We start from the raw sequence: 20335 nt of genomic DNA, 5'->3' as shown, positions 1-20335 counted from the left end.
GGCGGGCAGATCACAAGGTTAAGAGCTTGGGACTATCCTGGCCAACATAGTGAAAGCCCGTCTCTACTAAAAATACAAAAATTAGCCGGGCGTGGTGGCGCCCGCCTGTAATCCCAGCTACTCAAGAGGCTGAGGAAGGAGAATCGCTTGAACCCGGGAGGCGGAGGTTGCAATGAGCTGAGATGGTACCACTGCACTCCAGGCTGGTGACAGAGTGAGACTCAGTCTCAAAAAAAAAAAAAAAAAAAAAAGGCAGAATTAGCCAGGGTGTCGAATGCCTGTAATCCCAGCTACTTGAGAGACTGAGGCAGGAGAATCTCTTGAACCCGGGAGGCGGATGTTGTGGTGAGCTGAGATCGCACCATTGCACTCCAGCCTGGATAACAAGAGCGAAACTCCATCTCGAAAACAAACAAACAAACAAAAAACCAAAAAACACTTCCTCCTAATGGCTAACCTTGACTTCTCAAGCTGCAATCTGGTCCCATCTCTTTTGGTTTAATTCTTAAGAGAAAATCAAGACTGGCCCTCTACCCATGTTATTCTAATATTCTTTCAGATGTTGAAAACATTGTTTATATTGCCTACCTCTCAGATCCATTCTATATTTAAAGGCCATTTCTTCCTCCACTCTATTTTTTCCTCTCTGCTCCTCCTCCACCATCATCATCACCATCATCACCACCACCATCATCATCATCATCAAGTTTTATAAGTACAGTGCAGACTCCAACCCAACCCACCCCAGCAATTTGTGTCTCACTTCCCACAGACAAATCCATGGTATTAAGACATCTGTATCTGGTTTCTCTCAAAGACTCTCAGACCTAATGACCTCAGTTCAGACCTTGGATGCTTTACCCAGCAGACTCCAAACGAAGGACTGCCTGCCATGCCCAGTACTAGGAGCAGGGCTGGGTACTTCCCCCTCCTTGGTTGTGCTATGTCAGTGCCCAGATGGCTGATGTGAGAGGCTTGTCCAGCCAGGAGGTGCTTGTGGTTCCTGCTTCTAGAGGTGGTGTGAGTCAGGGGCTGAGGTCTGCATCCTTGGGGGAAGGTGGAGGCTTAGCTTGGGGAGGGCAGAGGGTTGGCTGGTTGGCCCCTCCGGGGCAGCTGAGCAGGAGAGGTTGCTCTGAGCCCTCCACAGGGCTGAGACCAGGGAGGGATGCCTTCTTTCTCTTCCCTTCCCATGTGCCTTTCCCCATGATGGCACCTTCCCTCTTCTTTCTTTCCTGGCCTGTTTTTTCTTTTATTTTGTTTTTCTCTTGAGACAGGGTGTTGCTCTGTCACCCAAGCTGGAGTACAGTAGCACGATCATAGCTCACTGCAACCTTGACCTCCCAGGCTCAAGTGATCCTCCTGCCTCAGGTTCCTGAGTAGCTGAGACTACAGACGTGCACCAACAAGTCCAGCTAATTTTTTGAATTTTTTGTAGAGATAGGATCTCATTATGTTGCCAGGGCTGGTCTCAAACTTCTGGGCTCAAGCGATCCTCCCACCTCGGCCTGCCCAAGTAGTGAGATTACAGATGCAGGCCATGCACCTGGCCTCTCTTTCCTTTACTACCTCTGCTTAGAGGCACAAGAAGGGGGAACCACGAGGCCAGGATGTGGAGAGGGCAGGAGCAAGTGGTTTATTCATGCTGCCCCAAATCTCCAAAGACAGGGTTTCTTTATTTTCAATGCAGTTTATGACTGAGCTGGATGTTAATCCCAAGGGCTCTTTCCCCAAGGGCCAGAGGTGACGGGAGAAAATTGTAAAGATGGCCCATAAGTGCTGTGGTGCCTGAGCAGGATGGCCCTGCTCCAGGGTGGGCAGGGGTGCTCATGTGGAAGAACCCTGGGCATGCCCAGCAGACAGCCAGCCTTCCTATTCGTCTGATGGGACATGTTCCAGAAAGGTGCAGAAGTGCCAGGGGAAGATGAGGAGGCTGTTGGTGGAGGAGGTCAGGTCCTGGGAGGAGGATGGCTTGGACTTCCCTGTGGACTGGTGGCCTTGTCTGGGGCCTTTTCTCAAGATCTTCCAGAGCAGCGTTCCCCATGGGACCCGCTGTGGAAGAAGGGAGGAAGCTACCCAATAATTCAGCCATGGTTACTGGGTAGCACCTCCCTGGACTGTCTCTTTGGTAGCCCATTCTTTAGCTCTCTGCATCGAGGGCTGAAACCCAGCACTGACTCCTCAGCAAATTAGGATGTCACTTTGGCCACCTCCACCAGCCCTTCCTGAGCATCTGCTCAACCAGCAACAGGAAAACACAGCAGCTCCCATGATCAAGGACACAGACTATGTCACCAGAATTGGTGTCCTCTTTTATTATTATTATTATTATTTTTTGAGATGGAGTTTCACTCTTGTTGCCCAGGCTGGAGTGCAATGGCACAATCTTGGCTCACCGCAACCTCCACCTCCCAGGTTCAAGTGATTCTCCCGCCTCAGCCTCCCGAGTAGCTGGAATTACAGCCATGCACCACCACGTCTGGCTAATTTTGTATTTTTTTAGTAGAGACGGGGTTTTTCCATGTAGGTCAGGCTGGTCTCGAACTCCCGACCTCGGGTGACCCGCCCGCCTTGGCCTCCCAAAGTGCTGAGATTACAGGTGTGAGCCACCGTGCCCAGCTGGTGTCCTCTTTTTTTGAGCCCCAGTTTCTCCTGTTATAAGCTAAAATGAATCTCTTAAAGGTGTTTCCCACTACCCAGTGGCCATGCACCTCAGGAAGTTCTGAGTTGATGCCTACACACATAAATGGAACCCTGGCTTACAAGTGTTGCATGGGTTTGTTTTGAAAGAAATTACACGGGAGTTCCACTCAAAAGGTGAAGAGACCCTGCAAACGAAGAAGCCACAGCGCCCAGCAGTTTGACTTTGGGGTAACTCACATGCAGAGTGTGCCTAAGGGGAGGGAGGTCTACTGGCCACCTGAGGCATGAAGCAGTCCTGCAGATGGCAGTCAAGTCCCCTTCCCATGGCCTCATCACTGCCCCGGCCCTTCCCACCTGGGGAGAGACACTCACTGTGTCATGGGACATCTCAGGCACCAGAGGTTCCTCCTCTGCTTCTCGTGGAGTGGACGTGCTCAAGTCCATTGTGGAGCTCACTGTGTCCTTGGACCAGGACTCTTGGATGGTTCTCAGCTTCTTATCCAGGATCTTGGGGTCCAAGGTAGGAAGAGCCTTGCTGTTGTTTGGTGTCAAGAAGTTTTCTGGTCTCTGAGAAGAGAAGGTGCAGAGAAACTTCAGGACAGGCCCCTTCTCTGTGCCCATCTACCATAAGCACACCATCTACACCCCAAGCCTCTCCTCCTCATGGCTCAGGAGGCCCTGCATGGCTGGCCCGTGCACACCTCCTACCATCTGCCCCTTGCTCACCGGGTCCCAAATACATGGCCCTTGCTGTTCCTCCAACAAGCCAAGCTCGCTCCTGCCTCAGGGCCTTTGCATTTGCTGTTCTCTTCCTGGAGGTCCTCAGGGATCCTTACGCAGCTGTCTCCTTCTTATCATTCAAGTCTCAGCCCAGATGTGATCTGCTCAGAGGGTCCCTACACTTTGAGATAGAGGCCCACTCTATCTAAAGTAATCCCACTTCCAATATACTCTCTATTCATTTATCCCATTTTACTGTGTTCATAGCACCTACTCTACCAGAAAATTTAAAAATGCATTTACTTCTTAACTGCCTTCCTTCTGCAAATGCCCATGCTAGGATGTGAGTCCCATGTCAGCAAGGAACCTTGTCTATCCCTAGTCTCTGGCTCATTGTAGGCACTCAATACATTTTTGGTGGAAGAATAAATGAATTATGCCATCTCTGGCACCCACACTTGGTGCAGTAACAACAGCTTCTAAAATCCTACACTCTTTTGACACCCTTTGCTATGTAGACCTATTTTCCATTTCATCTCCTCTATCATCCTTCAATCTTACCACCCATTAAGCAGACAGTCTCTCCTCTCTGTATATTCTGATGAGCCTTCGTCTCCCTCCATGTTCTTTTCCCGTTCTCCTCCTTCTCCCTTGGCAGGATTATCACTGTCATATGTCTAAAGTCTGATGCCACTCAAATACCAGCACCCCCACCGCCCAAGGATGACTTGATGTCTCAGCTCACACTGACTTGTAGGTTTTCTGGGTTCTTCTGGTCTAGCAGTTGGCTGTCTGTGCTTTCATGTTGCTAATTCCAGACTTGCCTGCTATTTTTTTTTCTTTTTTTTTTTTTTGAGACAGAGTCTTGCTCTCTTGCCCGGGCTGGAGTGCAGTGCCATGATATCGGCTCACTGCAACCTCCACCTCCTGAGTTCAAGTAATTCTCCTGCCTTAGCCTCCTGAGTAGCTGGGACTACAGGCATCCGCCACCACACCTGGCTAATTTTGTGTATTTTTAGTAGAGATGGGGTTTCACCATATTGGCCAGGCTGGTCTCGAACTCTTGACCTTGTGATCTGCCCACCTTGGCCTCCCAAAGTGCTGGGATTACAGGCGTGAGCCACTGTGCCTGGCTGCTTTTTTTTTGTTTTTTTTTTTTAAATAAAATTTTAAGTTCCTTGGGCTTAGGGACATGTCTGTGCTCCCTTTGGGGAAGGGTTACTTTAAAGCCCTGTTGGAAATTCATGGTTATCTCTAAAACATACTCATTGTTCAAAGAATCATGCAGTCCTAGGGTTTTCAGGGACCTCAAAAGTGAGCCAGTTCCACCCTGCACCAGCTGTTGGAATCCTCTCTTGGCTGCATAGCAGACAAATTATTCCACTGTCTGGAGTCTTGTGCTAGAAATAAATAGAGCAATGGGCACACTGCCAACCAGTACAGATGCGCTCAGAGTTAGAGGTGCCCAGGTGTTTGACCCTGAACAACCAGAGAGGGAATGAATGCAGGTGGGCCTCTTTTAAAGTGGTTCTTCTATAGGAAAGTCCATGCATACTAATTCAATGAATTGAGACAAGGACCCTTCACTTTACCACTGAAATTCTTTAAGTAATTATTCTTTTATGCCCCTTTCAAATAAAATTTGCTGTGCAGAAATTCATTAATGTGAAGATGTTTCTGGCCATGTCTATAGAGTAAGGGACAGTCACATAAGTACACAGAGGCATTTGGCTAAGTCTGGGCTCTATGTCCCCCAACTCCCCATCAAATGGGTGCAAAATAGACAACGCCAAAGAGAAAGCAGCTATAATAAGACTCTTGGAATGGGAAGAGTGGGACACTGGGGGACCCCGAGGCTGACTTTGGCAGGCCACCTACTGCACTTCATGACCAAGACTCCTGGGCCTGTTTTGTCTGTGGGCATCAGGCCTGGCTCTCTCTCCCACCTGGTCCTCTCAGTAGCTATGGCTCACAGAGGGCAGGCTTCACTTGGAGGCTCCCCACTGACGTGAAGACACCCAGGGTAGCATCTGAGTCAGATGGTTTAGGGTTTTCTGGCCATGTGTTTTAGATAGGAAAAAGTACCACATCTGTCTCTTTCTCGGAACAGCTGAACACTAGATTGACTGCAGAGGAAGAGCTACAAAATGCATATTGGATGGATGGATGAATGAGTGGGTGGATGAATGGATGGATGAATGCAGGAGAGAATGAAGGAAAGCATAAATACAGGGCAAAGACCACCTTCCCATTGACCAGGTGGCCCCTGGGGCTGTGGTGAGATGCTGATTCAGGACCTATAATGACATTTCTGCTCATTTCCAGGCAGAAAGCCAATCTCTATGCCCTGGATTTCATAGACTGCCATCTAATCCAGTTAGGAGAGGAAGTAGAAGTAATGAAATCAAGGGAGAGGTCTCCAGAGGTGCCCCCATCAGTACTGAAAGCAGGGACAATTGCAAAGGAGTTCCCTCCCCCATAGCCTGTCTCCCTGACATCCACTCAGTGTGGCCCCAGCACCAGATGGGTCAATGCAATAACCCAGAGCTGACATTTACTGAGCCCCTGGTCAGAGCTGGGCACTCACCAGGTACTTGTATGTGGATTCTGAAATTTACCATGTATAATCCATTTAATTTCATCACAAAGCTAAAATAAAGGTGGGAACAACCCCTCAGTCCAGACCAGTGCCTTTACCCCATCAGTCTCTTATGGGGTGAGGTGGGGGTGGGCTCGGGGAAGGAGGGCAGGCAAGGCAGAGTACCTATGGACTTTAAGTCTATCCTGCCCATTCCTGCTCCAGCCACCCTTCCTGTAGTGCCTGCCAGACTCAATGATTCTGTCCTGCCCTACCCTGGGGCTGGCCCTGGCCAGGATCTGCTCCCATGGCTGCTCCATGCCTGTACCTCCCCAGCCTGCAGGTCTCTGCCCACATTCCCATTCCCCTGTCCCATTCAACTTTGCCAGGATCCATCCTGGCCTGGGATTTGGAGGCAAGGTGGAGAGGTGAATTTTATAGTGAAATCTTTAGACCTCCAAACAGCACAGATCCCGCAGGGCACATCAGAGGGAGTTGCTTTTGTCATGTGAGGTGACGGGCACCAAGAGATCCATCATGTCTAAATTCTCCCTAATAGTTCTCCTTCTTTAGGGTCAGCATTGCCTCTCCAGACTCCACAGCTTCAATCAGCTCACATTTGGGGAAGGAAATTATGCCCTCAGCCCCTTGCTTCTCAAGGAAGGGAGCTTGCCTGAGACCATAGAGAGGGCCAGGCTGCTCGAGACCATAGAAAGAGCCAACCCATAGGAGATGGTGAGTCAGGGTGGAGGATGGGAAGAGCCTTGGAGACTAACTCCTCCCAAGACTAACTCCTCCTAATCAAGCCCAGCCTTGCCTCGCTCTCCTTTCCTCCAGGTAAGGTGGGGGCTGCTGGCCCACCCCACAAGCCTACTTATTTGCTTCTGTATTTGACAAGCCTTGCTCTGCCTGCTGGGGCAGCTTGGGGCTGACAAGTGGCCCCTGTCCCCATGGCTTCGTGGCTGCAGCACATCCTGGTTCATTAAGACTATAATTGGAGATTGACTTTGAAAGCTCAAAGAGATGCATGGCCACGCACTAGCTCAGACCCAGCATTCAGCTCACTGCTCCCTGTGTTGTTGCAGCTGCCCACACCACATGTGAGTGCCATGGTTGGGGAGAAGACATCCCTTCCTCACTCCTCCCAGCACTCACTGTTGTTAGCAGAGTTGGGTCTGTTGAGACAGACCAGGCCAATGGCATCACAGGCTTGAGGCTTCTTAGGTCACCTGTCTCCCTCCTCCCCACAACATCCTCTGCCTTCCTCCTACCCATTCCATCCCCTAGATCCCCAATCATGCAAAATGCAGCAGTTCCAGCCTGCCCCACAATTACTGACTAGCCAGGCTGCAGCTGCTGTCCTTGGTGCTGAAAGTGCCCGCCTTCCGGCCTGCCTGCCTCTCGCCCCGCCCTGAGCCTTCTTGCTGGAGCGCACATGCTCTTAATTCAATTAGCTGGCCCTGAACCCTCCCCAGGGGGCCTGAAGCGGAAACTGACAAATTCTGTTTAACAAAGACATTTGTCCCTCGCCCCGCTGGCTTTGGGCTCTGCCCGCCTGTATCCCGCTCATTAGGTATCTAACAAAGTGAGTCCCAAGAAATCTGCTTCCAATCGCTAGTAATTCAGGAGGCCTGATGCAATTTTCTCCCTGATAAGGGTGTCTCGCCCACTGGCAAGCGCCATAATGAGCCCTGTGCAGCAGTTCCCCGATCAGTCACTGCTTTGTCATTTCCTGTGGCTGCAGTTGTAGGTTCTTATCTCTTCAGCTGTAGGCGAAGCTCAGACAACAGGCCCCTCCAAGAGGGCTTGCTGCCTCCCCTGCATACAGCGAGCCTCATTTATGGCATCCTGCGTGCTCTTGCAGCTGCAGTGGGGTTTGAAGCTCCGGGTCTGTCTCCCAGCCAAGAAGGGCCCCAGTGTTAATCCTTGGTGGGGCCATGATTCATTTGCCAGAAGTGGTGTTAGAGGGTTAATCCCAAAGCACATTTTGAGGCCAGAGGAGGGGTGCCACTGATAAGAATTTTTAAAAATTCTGTTGGGGATTTTAGTATGAAAGTCCTGCCTGTGGCTCAGTGGTTTGACTGTGGGCTCACTCTTGTTACCCTGAAACCTGGCTTTCTGAATTTATTTTTTTCCCTTGGGTTTCCCCTATTCTCATGCAGACAGACCTTTCCAACACAGATGAAATCACATCCTACTGCTGCTCCAAGACCTTTCTTAGTTTCCTACCACTTTATGATAAAGCCCTCACCCTGCACCCTAGCACCCAGGTCCTCTACAATCTAGACTTCTTCTAGCTTTCTAGTCTCACTGCCCATTACAGTTCTCATATGTCATGTGCTCCAGACACTGTCATGCCTCCATGCCTTTGCACATGGGGGTCCCTTTGCCTGAAGCACCCTTGCTTTGCCAATTTCCAACCCACTATTTGGAACAGAGCTCAAACCATGCCTTTCTGTGATGCTTGCCCTGACCTCTGTATATTCAATGCACCAATCTCAACCAGGACCCTTAGTAAGATGGGTGATAGTGATCTGTTGGGGTGCTTTACTGCTTGGCACAGGTTAGAAATCTAATAAATGGCTTTGGGAAGCCAAGGCAGGTGGATCGTGAGGTCAGGAGTTTGAGACCAGCCTGGCCAACATGGTGAAACCCCATCTCTACTAAAAATACAACAGTTAGCTGGGCATGGTGGCGGGCACCTGTAATCCCAGCTACTGGGGAGACTAAGGCAGGAGAATCGTTTGAACCCAGGAGGCGGAGGTTGAAGTGAGCCGAGATCATGCTATTGTGCTCCAGCCTGGGCAACAGGTCAGGACTCCATCTCAAAAAAAAAAAAAGGAAAAGAAACCTAACAAATGGTTAATGAATGAATGACCTTGGCTGGGCCAGAGATACATCTTGGCTGAAAGCACTGAAGGGAGGTCTATACTAAGGTGGTTGGGTTTTCAGAAGGGGGGAAATCCCAAGACCAACTCCCATTTTCTGAGAAGTTTTGTCTAGAAGCTTCTGCCATGTCTCTCTCTATTCCTTCCCTCCCCCTTCTTCAATCTACCAATTATGCACTGGGCTCACAGGGAGAGCAGAGCAAGGGAAGGGAGTGTTCAATGTCCAGTTTTCTCAGTCATCTCTGCATTCTGACTTAATACACACCATCTGCAGCTGGGAGTTGTAGGCTCACATTCTCAAGGCAACACTAGGTTCTGTGGTTGGTGAGGCATTTAAAAAAATAAATAGACAAAGGTTCTCACTCTGTTGCCCAGGCTGGGGTGTAGTGGCACCATCTCAGCTCACTGTAGACTCAATCTCCCAAGTTCAAGCAATCCTCCTGCCCCAGCACCCCCAAGTGGCACCATCTCAGCTCATTGCAGCCTCAACCTCCCAGGTTCAAGCAATCCTCCTGCCTCAACGCCCCCAAGTAGCTAGGACTACAGGTGCACAACACGATGCCTGGCTAATTTTTGCATTTTTAGTGGAGATGGGGTTTTGCCATGTTGCCCGGGCTGGTCTCGAACTCCTGAGCTCAAGTGATCTGTCCACCTTGGCCTCCCAAAGTGTTGGGATTATGGGCATGAGCCACTAGGCCCAGCCTGGTGAGACATTTGAGATGAGCTAAAGCAGGTCTTCTGAATGACTAGCAATTGGAAGCAGTATGCCTCTCCATCCAGCCCTTCCCATTCTGGCCTGGGAGCTCCTAGGCTCCACAGCCCCCAACTCAGGGCAGGGTACATTGAGGACTTCAGCAAGTCTGGCTTCTGGAGAGATGGTTGTCTGTCTCTTCCCCCATTTCATTCTCAGAAAATTGCAGCGAGACCAAATGTGGTGCTGGCGATGTTTATCTTCAGCACCTGACAAGGCCTCCTGATGTCCTTATGGATGCGAAGCTGGTGGAGCAGCTGTCATGAGGGGCGGGCACCGAGTGATGGGTTCGCAGGGCTCCACCAACTCCCCTCCCCCAGGAGCCCTGTCCTCATCCCTGATGAGTTCAGCATGTTTGTCAGAAACCTGGGTGAAAGACACTAAGAGATCCCTTTACCGAGCATCTGCAGGACACTGTGCTAGGTTACCTGCACATGCTTCCTCATTCAATCTTCACTATGTTCCTGGCTGGTAGGGATTACAATCCCCTTTTATGGATGAGAACAGTGAAACTCAGGATGGCTAAGATCAAATGGAAGATCCAGATTCAAGCCCAGGTCTACAGGCTTACAAGGTGGACATTGCAGCACTTCAAGTGTCTTGGCCACCTCCACAGATGACCTGGAGCTTGGGGTTGGGGGTACAGATGGGGCTGTGAGTGTGTTGCATGATAAAATCAGGGTCCAGAATGATCTCAAGCTTAGAAGATGGGCTGAGATAAAAAAGGTGAAATACCACAGGGGAGAGAAACCCTGTCTAAGTTCAGTATAGAACAGCAGGGAGGCAAGATGCAGACATGCTGCTTACTGATGTGCCAGAGTTGGACTCTGGCTCTAAACAGACCCTCACTGCTTTGATAAATACTAAAATAGAACCAAAGCTAGGCTTCAGCTGCACCAAAGGGGAGAATGTATTCAGAGAGAGGGAGTGATGTTCCTACTCTACCTCTAATGCTGATTGGGCCCCACAGTTTTGGGGGATACTTTAACAGGAATGTTGTCAAGAGGAGACAATCAGCAGGACAAGAATCAGAAACCAAGTGCTACAAAGAGGAAGAGGAATGAGAGTGGGTTCAGGCTGGAGATGCCATAAATAGTTTGCAAATGTCAGTAGGGCTGACAGGCCCTGACTTCTCTGGAGTTGGCCTCTGGGAGGAAAAGGCAGGGCCAGGGGGAGGAAATTGAAGAGAGACAGAAGGAAGTTTAGAAGGGAGCTAGTAGAGGATGGAGAGGGCATCCTGGGTGGTAATGAACTCTCTGTCGGGAAATGACCAAGTAGAGTCTGTCAAACTCTGTGTGTGTTCTGGAGGGACTGTTCAGTTCCTTCTCTCTGAAGTGGGCAGCATGGGAGTTGCATGATCACCAAGGGAGGCCAATATTGTCCCCAAGGCAGGGAACACTATAGGGGGATTCAGGCATTGTGGAAAGCAGGTAGGAGCCTCCGTCATGGCAGCGCAGGAGGAGAGGTGGGATGGCCAGCCCTGCTCCGACACAGAGTCTGTGACCTGGGGGCCAGGTTGGCCTTGTGAAAGCACAGACTCTCATGTCTCTCCTGCCCCATCCTAAGCTTCCTTTGATTTGTTTGTTTTCTGTTTTTAGAGACAGTCTTGCTCTGTCGCCCAGGCTGGAGTGCAGTGGTGTGATCTCGGCTCACTGCAACCTCCGCCTCCCAGTAGCTGGGATTACAGGCTCCTGCCACCAAGCCCAGCTAATTTTTGTATTTTTAGTAAAGACGGGGTTTCTCCATGTTGGCCAGGCTGGTCTCAAACTCCTGACCTCAGGTGATCTGCCCACCTCGGCCTCCCAAAGTGCTGGGATTACAGGTATACAGATTTAATCTCTCCAGAGCCACCACGCCCAGCTCTAAGTTTTCTTTGGATGGGATGGGAAGAGCTCTACACTGGACCTAGAACCTGAGCAGGTGAGGGAAAGGGCACCTGTGGGTAAGGGGTGGATCTGTCTCCTCTGCCTCCTGCCAAATGACCTGAGGCAATGAGAGGATAGGAGGGCAGAGGCTTTGGGTGTGGAAAGGAGGGCAGTGAGGGATGGTGTGAGATAGTGGCAGGGAAAGGGTCTCTCTCTCTGGATCCATCCTTATGGTAGTGTTTTCACAGATGGAGTCTTGGGGGTGGGAACAGAGCCTTCAGAGGGCAGAACCAGTGGAGGAGACTGCTGTGCTGCCCTGGGCACTGGCCCATTCAGGCCGCTGTGCTTGGGGAAGAAATGGAGGGAGGTTTGTGTTGCAGTTTCTCTAAGGACCATCTCAGGGGTGTCAGGTGTGGCTTACAAAAAATCCATAAAAATTCTTCAAAAGCCAGCATGATGCTGCCTGTCCCCTGCCCTTTCCTCTATATTTGCTAAGTGGCCACTTGTCCTCACTCTGGGCTGGTCTCCAGAGAGATCTTTGTAACTAGTCTGAAAAGAAGCCACCAGAGTAGCATCAAAGACTTGCCCCCCTCTCTCCCTATGAGGGGAAGAGGGAGGGGGAAGGTCAGATGGGACCATGGCACCTGCCCCTCCCCTCAGTGGTGGCAGCAGGTGCCACTGCCACCTCTCCTCAAATGCACCCTCTCTATACTCCCAGGAAGCCAGGGGGTTTCACGTCATCCCAGCATGTCTGTGGGCTGTGGGCTGAGGAGGGTGTGGCCACCCATCTGAGAGGCCCTACTTCTGCCTGGTGCCCTATCTGGGCAAGGTGATGGATCCCAAATCTTAAATGCAAGAGGAGAAATGTTGCTGTATACCCAGATGACGGCATGAACTTGTCCCACCTCATGGGGAGGTGCATTTCCAGGCAGAGAGGCAGGAACTGATGCAGTGAGCACCTACTGTGTGCATGCCAGGCTCCAATCCACAAGGTCAGCCCAGGAAACCTGGGCAGTGTGGGCCTCACTTCAAAGAGGCTGGCTGCAAGCTGGAGGGCACCCAGGATGCTGTGGGATCTCGAAACCAGTTCATTAAGAGAGCCAAGCTGCTTTGCCTGGGGAAGTGTAGACTCCCCAGAGACCACATCACACTCTTCAAAGAGAAGAGGCTGAGATCAGAGGAGGAATGGAGGAGACCAAAGGTTTCTGTGTGTGTGTGTATGTGGAGTAGCCATAGGCTCATGGAGTTTTTTTGTTTGTTTGTTTTTGTTTTTGAGACACAGTCTTGCTCTGTTGTCCAGGCTGGAGTGCAGTGGCATGATCTTGGCTCACTGCAACCTCTACCTCCCAGGTTCAAGTTATTCTCCTGCCTCAGCCTCCCAAGTAGCTGGGATTACAGGCACCCACCACCACACCCAACTAATTTTTGCATTTTTAGTAGAGACAGGGTTTCACCATGTTGGCCAGGCTGGTCTTGAATTCCTGACCTCATGATCCGCCCGCCTCAGACTCCTAAAGTCTTGGGATTACAGGCGTGAGCCACCGCACCCAGCCAGACTCATGGATTTTTAGAGCCTAATGGACCTCAAAGGCCAGTCCCCACTGAATGTGCAATAAAGGGAAGTTTTCTGTGTATGTGTTTTTGTATATGAGTGTACATGTTTTTCTAGTTTTTGTGTGATCTGTGTGTGTTCATATACGTACTCACCTACACACACAAGCCATCTTAATGCAGATCACTTTAAGCAGCAAATGACTAGAGAAGTCCTACCAGAGGGTGAAAAACGAACCCATCACCAACCAACCACCTTCAAGTGCAATATTCCAAACCAGAGACCACCACCTCTTGCCATTCACTGAGTCTGCAGGCTTTGTTATCTAGTCTGCCCTCAAAAGTGTTGGCTGACTATGTGATCTATGTAGGAGGCTTGCTGAGGTCGCCCTGCAGCCTCGGGGGCAAAGCCAGGAGCTTGGGGCAGAGGGAGGTCCCCAGGAGGCAGGTTGAGATCATGTGGGGTGGCCATTTCTATCACTCAGCCATAGGAAGGCCTGCTTCTGGAGGTAGTGAGCTGTCTGTCATGGCAGCACAGGAGGAGAGACTGGGATGACCACGTGCTGCCAGGGAGATTGCTGTCCAGTGTGGGCTGTTGAGAGAGGCCACTGCTGTCTCTGCCTATTTGCAAATTTCACCATGCTGCTTCTGAAAGCTCTGAGAATGGGTGACGTGGTAGTGGCGGGTGTGGGGAAGCTGTGTTCACCAAAATGTCCAATTATCCAGGACAGCCTGTGCCCAAAACTCCTGGACATGGAGGCTCATGGAAAGAGCCTATGTCCTCAGACTGGGGCTGGGCCCAAATACGGCACGCGCATTCATTTCTCCTGAAGCATTTCCGCTCTGTGACAGCACTGACCATGTCTGACCACATGCAAAGAGCTACCCCTAGGATGGAGTTGTTGACCATGTGAACGAGGGGCCTGAGAGGCCCAATATCACAAGCCTCGGCAGCTGGAGTGTCCACAGGACTCTAAGACCTCCAGGTGTCAGGTGGTGGCTTCTGGACCCATTATGCAATATTTGATTTAAAGGGTGGAAGAGTTGATGGCCCCAGCCCTGCTGCTGCCTTCCCAAAGTCTAGGATGCAGAGATGAATACCAGGTACCTTCCATGATGAAGTTGCAGGCAACACCTTAGGCGCAACAATAAGGGGGCAGGAACCTGATCTCTTTGTTATAGCAGCTTAGCTCATCACCGTACTCAGCTACCATGAGGAGTCCAAATAGCCCCTTCAAGGACTCCGTATCATGTCACCTTGTTTGAGTTTCCTCAGACCCTTTATCATTAGCTGACATGAATTATTTTTTTATTGTCTGTTCCATACTCCCTGCTAAGAATGCAAGCTTTAGAAAGACAGGGCCTGATTGTTTTTTTTTCTTCTTCTTCTTCAGTGTAATATTCCTAAAATCCAGAACAGCAATTGCTCATGTGGGTGCTTCAGAAATGTTTGCAGTTGCATAGAGAACAATGATGGTATTGCAGTGAAGGTGGTGATGAGGGATGGAGAAGGGGATGGGCCCCTTTAGATTTAGCTGCAATGCCATCTGACCTGTTCATGAATTCTCAACACTTTCCTGCCATCCCTTAGGGAGAAGGATGCCAAAAGGTCTCAGACACTAGAGAGCCATGTCCAAGCCCAATGAAGGTGTGAGCTCAAATCAAAATGAGGTCCATGGCTGCCAACCCCTCCTTCTCCCCATTTCAATCCACAATGGCAGCCAAAATTCTACTTCTTGCCTTGCATGCTACCTGACATGCAGTGACTCCTCATCAAATATACATGGAATAAAAGAATAAATGAATGGGTGCTGCAGCTGCAAGGACTTCATGGTGAATTTAACCACATTAGCACTTTATACTTAGGCTCCTAAATTGGTCTTCAAGATTCTAGAATCAAAGGGAGTCAGTTATTGGCCAATTCTCAGATAGTTTACCAAGAAATAGTTCCACTACAAAGAGATTTAGCTTCCGTGTGTGCCACTGCAGGTGTGAAAACATCTGTGTGTCAGTTTGCATGTATGTGAGAGCGTGTACATATGTGTTAAGAGTGTGCATCCTTCTTGCCAAGGTATGTGCGCACACATCTGTGTGTCTGTGACTGTGTGTAGATATTCACACGTGATTGAGAGTGTATATGTAGAGGGGGTGTGTGTGTGTGTGTGTGTGTGTGAATTCTTGGCTGCAGAATCTGAATTTCTGCTAGTACTATTTTCTTGGTACACACCCAATCCTGATCCCCTTTCTTTTCCTTTCTTCTCAGAAATCCATTACTAAAAGGTTTTTTACCCGCCTCCAGGGGGAGGGGGTTGGGGGAAGGAGACGCTAAAATCACAAGGCCCAGATCAAAACACTCAGCAGCTAAATGAATTCGGCAGCATTTTCCCGCATGACTTGGAGGGATAATTTAGTGAGGCCGCCAGCTGGAAGGAAAGGGATTAATTCTGCACTTAGCACAGCTCCGGTGAATAATTCATTACTGGAGACCTTTGTGCCCAGCCCCTGGGCAATGGGGAAACTGTTCTGCCCACCTGCCTGTTGCCTGCCTGGGCCCACTAGTCAGTCCCCTGACCAGGGGCACCTGACGCTCCTTTTAGTCCCAGGATACACATGCCCAGTGGAAGGGGCAGGAGACAGAGGGAGGTGGGGAGGGGCTGGCAGTGGCCAGTGGCCACAGGCAGACTCTATACCTTGGGAAGAGGCCCCGGAGGGTTGGGCTCCAAACTGGGAAGTTTGTGACCTTTTTCTCCAAGATTCTGGTGCCTCTTTCTTGGGGTTTGTTGCTTCTACCCTTGAGAGGGCAATCCTGAACACCTATAGCAGGGAGTGCTAATGGGGTCTCAGGCCCTCTCCAGAGGCCTTGTAAAGGCACTTTCAGGCTGGTACCAACCCAGATATACTCCTCATACCCCACACCATAGGATTCCCTGTGTTCTTCATGAGTGAGGTCACAGAGCCAAGTGCTACCCCAGAGCTGGTGGATATTTTTCCTGCGTGGGAAGAAGGCAGGAGTGGGTTGGCGCGGACATTAGTCCCTGCAAACACTTTCTGGGTTCATGGTCCTAAACTACTCACATCCCAGCACCACTGAGAGGAAAGAGGGAAAGTCCAGCGGGTGCCTGGCATGTGCACTGCAGCCAAATGAGCAGGGTCTAAGCTGGGCTGAGACCAGGTGTAGCTAGCGAGAGGGATCGAGGCTCATCCAGCAGGCAGGGCTTAGCCCTGGGTGTCTTCACATTTGGACCAACCCAGCTGTGGTAGACAGAATTCCAAAAACGGGCCTCCAAGATTTTACACCCTCATTCTTGGAACCCGTGAATATGATGACTGATCACTCCTGGGATTATGTTTGTTACATGGCACCGTTGACTTTAAGATAGGAAGATGATTAGAATGGCCTGACCTTATCACACCAGCCCCTCTAAAATCCCTCTAAAAGCACCTCTAAAAGTTTTCTGTGGCTGCTGACAGAAGAGGAAGTCAGAGTTTTGAGGTGTGACAGGGACTGGACATGCCTGCTGGCTTAAGATGAACGGGGCCATTGTGAGGGGGCATGTGGGCGTCCTTCAGGAGCTGAGAGCTGCCCCGGCTGACAGCCTGCAAGGAGACCGGGATGTGAGTCCGGCACTGCAGGGAACTGGATTGTGGCAGCCACCTGAATGAATTTGGAAGCAGATTCCTCCCCATAATCCCCAGAAAGGAATGTGACCCTGCCAACATCTTGATTCCAGCCACCCTGTGTCATGGGACCTACATATAGAAGTGTCAGCTAATAAATGGGCATTGTTTTAAGCTGCTAATTTGGTTATAAAGCAATAGAAAACTGATATCCTAGCTCACCCTTGCAGAACCTCGATCCCAGTGAGCCAGACTTGGCTTGGGCTTGGTCAGAGGCTGACTCCAAGGTCTGGGTGGCCCTCTGCTCACAACTCTCCTCTTCCTAATCCCAGCTCTCTCTACGTTTGTCTGGAGTCTCAAATCACCCTTAGACGTTTCTATCCAAAGTAGTAGTCCCATCCTCCCAGAAGTCCCTGAACAAAGCCAGCAATTGTGAAGGAAGTTGGATCTCACTGACATGTGCCTGCTGGCCCTGACCCTCCCCTGGCCCACAGCCTTACCTCAGAGGAAAGCAGCTGGAAGGAGAGAGCCACTGTGGGGGCCTCATCATTGATAGTTTTCAGGCTGGTGTCCTGGGGAGGAAAAGGGAGCACTCAGACCATGCTGGCCAGGGCAGCTTCCGCCTCTGCCCCACCTACTGTTCTAGATTTCTCTGGAAGGTGTCACCTGCGGGCTGCACCCAGGAGGGTGGGAGGGAGGTGGGAGCTGGCCTCCTGCTTTTGCCCTCGCAAACTGCCTCCACACCACCCCTTCTAAACCCCTCTAGAGACCTGTCTGGCACTACCAGGCTCATCTGACAGAGAGATTCTCATTCATTGAGGTCTATTATGTCAGGATGGCCAGAAGTATTTTAGGGGAAATGGTGGCATAGGAATAGAGAATGATGGTAACGATATTATTCATTCTTGTTGAGAACTTACTCTAAGTGCTTTCCATGGGTTTTCTCATGAAATCTCACAGCAACCCTATGAAAAAAGTGCTATTGCCATGTACCCATTTTATAGGCAAGGAAACTGAGGCATTGACACTTTCAGTAGTTTTCCCATGGTCATGTTAGCTGGTATGTGGTGGAACCAGAATTTGGACCCAGACAGTCTGGCTCTAGAGCCTGAGCTCTGAACTCTCTTGTTATACACAGAGATTGTGTACTTGGCATGCTTCTCCTGTGTTACAGACGAGGACTCTTGTGGTTCAGTAATGTGCCTGAATTTCCACAGTGAGGATTTGAACTGTGGTTCAAATCAGGGTCTGGCTGGCTGAAAGCCTGAACTCTTGCACTGTCTCACAGGGTCACCCTGTACTTGTCTCCCAAGTTGCTCAGGGGCAATTTCTCTGGCTTGGTTCGTCATAGTCCCAGAGGCAAGACTGGCTTCTGGGGTTCCAGGGAGCTCCTCACTTCTAGACTGGGTGACTTCCCTGGTGGGTGCCTTGACAGAAGCTTCTGGAGAAGCCAAATTCTCCTATGGAGGTGTGGTGAGGTGGGGCAGGGTGAGGCAGGGTGGGGCCAGGTGGGCACGCTAGGGGCCCAGTTCAGGGCAGGGGGCTCACCATGATGGGGAGCCGCTCCACGTGAAGCCCGTCCAAGCCTTTCCCTGTCAGCATCTTCTGGTACAAACGGCTCTTTAGCGGCAACACAGAGATGCCCAGGGGCTGGTTGAGGGTCCACGGCTGGCTGCCTTTCACTGTGGGGGAAGGATCAACTAGGGCTCCTGCCAAAGCCCCCACCTCGGCCCCATCCTTTAATACCTGACATCCAGTCCTCCTGTCTCCCGCTGCCTGCTTTCCTGCCTCCTGGCCTTTCCCTGCACATACATCCTCTTCTCATCTTCAGGGCTTTGTGAACTCAAAGCCAACTCTAAACATACTCTGTGTGTCTGGGAATTTATATACATCAGCCTCATCTCTACCCTTTGGGGGCTTCAATCCCACAGTGCAGAAAACTGTGGATCAGCTGGTCTCTGAAGCCCATCTCCCTCACCCCTCTCTGTGAGTTCCGAGGGCTCCAGCCCTCCCCCATCACTGATGGGTGCAATAAAACAAAGCTTGGGGCCAAGACCTAGTATGGGACAGGCCCACGTGTCCTGGCCTGTGGACAAGGAACGCAGCCAGCTCTCCTCTGCCTGCATTAGGAAGCCGCCTGGACACCTGGGAACCATCCATCCCTGTGGGAGGCAGAGGTGGGATGGTCTGAACACCCTTTCATAATACAGATCTCCTGAGGCATGGCTGCCCTGGCGAGGCACCAGGGGTCACGTACTTGAAGTTGAGGAGTAGTACTCCAGCACCAGGGCTGTGTCTTCTGAGAAGCTGGTAGCTCCATCTCGGCCTTGGAAGAGGAAGGACTGATTCCACAGGGGCTGCTCTGGGGGTCCCCCAGGCTTGGACAGCTGGAGGGAGAGGGTAGGAGCAGGTGGTGGGGGCCACAGCTTCTCCCAAATCAAGGCATACACAGATATTTGGTTTTGTGTATCTAGATTTGTCACAAATGTTTCTCCCAACTATAAAAGCAAGCTGGCTGGGCACAGTGGCTCACGCCTGTAATTCCAGCACTTCGGGAGGCCAAGGCAAGTGGATCACTTGAGGTCAGGAGTTCAAGACCAGCCTGGCCAACATGGCAAAACCCTGTCTCTACTAAAAATACAAAAATTAGCTAGGTGTGGTGGGGGACTCCTGTAATCCCAGCTACCCAGGAGGCTGAGGCAGGAGAACTGCTTGAACCCGGGGGGGCAGAGGTTGCCCTGAGATGAGATTGCGCCACTGTACTCCAGCCTGGGTGACAGAGCGAAACTCCGTCTCTAAATAAATAAAATAAATAAATAAATAAATAAACAAATAAATGCAGCACACACCTAATAAATACATTTAGGAAAATGCAGAAAAATAGGAAGAAGAAAAACAGCTCCTGTGTTCCTATGATAAACACAATAATTCATAAAACTGTGCTTCTTCCTAGTTTTTTTCTGTGTATATTTTGTGTATAATCACCATTCTAGCATCCTGCATTTTTCATTTGCCAGTAAAACCTAAGCAGATCCAAAGTCACAGAAAGCTCATTACCCATGACTTGAGTAACTTCAGGATATGAAGTTCATGTCCAAGTGCCCTGATTTCTTCCTTCCCATTTTTCCCTGTAATAACACTGCATTGAACGTTCTCTGCTACATATCTTCATGTCGCAAATTACTTCCTTAGTACAACTACCTAAAATGGAATTGCTGGGTTATAGGACATGTGTATTTTAGGACACCTCATTCATTATTGGTAAACTGTTTTCCTAAAGTGTTGTATCTGTGTTCACACCCATGGCTGGTGGTGTCACAGATGCCAAGTTAGACATGACCTCTGTCTGTGTCACCAGCCCCTCTCTTTCCCACACAGTTTCCCCAGCCCCTTGCAGAGGCCAAGACATCTCTGCAGACTACAGAGGCTCCGTGTGCCCGCAGTGTGGGCCAGTGGGCACTCGGGGGACTTGATGGCACCCTAGGTCAGCAGTTAGGGCACACACATGGGTATGATTTAAACAATGAAACAAGACAGTATTAACTGTAGCACTGCCCAATAAGAGAGCTATATGAAATATTCCCATGGGTGGTCAGAAAAGCCTCCTTAAAGGAAGCAGAACCAGAGAAAGGCTCTGAAGGAAGGTCTGGCTGGGTGAAGAGAGGGATAAAGGTCTTCAGGATGGGAAAACAGCACAATCAAAAATGTGGAGTGGCACTGAGCA

General features: G+C 50.4%; 1 protein-coding gene across 17 annotated transcripts in view, besides 2 other annotated features; it reads right to left on the bottom strand.

The window, feature by feature from the left end:
- CCDC33 (coiled-coil domain containing 33) overlaps window positions 1-20335 on the bottom strand; it is a 133474-nt gene that overhangs the window by 37512 nt on the left and 75627 nt on the right. For 15 of the 17 annotated variants that reach the window (XR_001751401.2, XM_047433141.1, XM_011522085.4 and 12 more), the window contains 4 exons: window positions 18869-18998; window positions 18160-18293; window positions 17112-17183; window positions 3013-3207 (listed from right to left, as the gene is read on the bottom strand). Coding sequence is in view for 16 of the 17 variants with exons in the window: in XM_047433141.1 (XP_047289097.1) it covers window positions 3013-3207; window positions 17112-17183; window positions 18160-18293; window positions 18869-18998 (531 nt within the window). In the remaining variant the exon portion in view is untranslated. Of the gene's footprint in view, window positions 1-1660; window positions 2050-3012; window positions 3208-17111; window positions 17184-18159; window positions 18294-18868; window positions 18999-19668; window positions 19843-20335 lie in introns of those variants that run through there. The other 2 variants (XM_011522089.4, XM_017022630.2) reach the window with 2 other exon arrangements.
- Window positions 6756-7957: an enhancer, noted in NCBI's record as "VISTA enhancer hs2614". NCBI's record gives its function as "enhancer in: forebrain[3/7]" and the evidence as "EXISTENCE:transgenic organism evidence [ECO:0001131][PMID:17130149]".
- Window positions 7206-7634: a silencer, noted in NCBI's record as "fragment chr15:74583668-74584096 (GRCh37/hg19 assembly coordinates)". NCBI's record gives its function as "represses an EF-1alpha promoter that drives an FKBP-Casp9 reporter gene in an ReSE screen in HepG2 liver carcinoma cells and phorbol 12-myristate 13-acetate-treated (for megakaryocytic differentiation) K562 erythroleukemia cells {active_cell/tissue: HepG2 | K562(+PMA)}" and the evidence as "EXISTENCE:reporter gene assay evidence [ECO:0000049][PMID:32094911]".

Source organism: Homo sapiens, chromosome 15 (assembly GCF_000001405.40).
Source record: "Homo sapiens chromosome 15, GRCh38.p14 Primary Assembly".
In the NCBI taxonomy this organism is placed as follows: Eukaryota; Metazoa; Chordata; class Mammalia; order Primates; family Hominidae; genus Homo; species Homo sapiens.
Note: the sequence above shows the minus strand (reverse complement) of the source record. Positions and strands in the feature narration are given on the sequence as shown.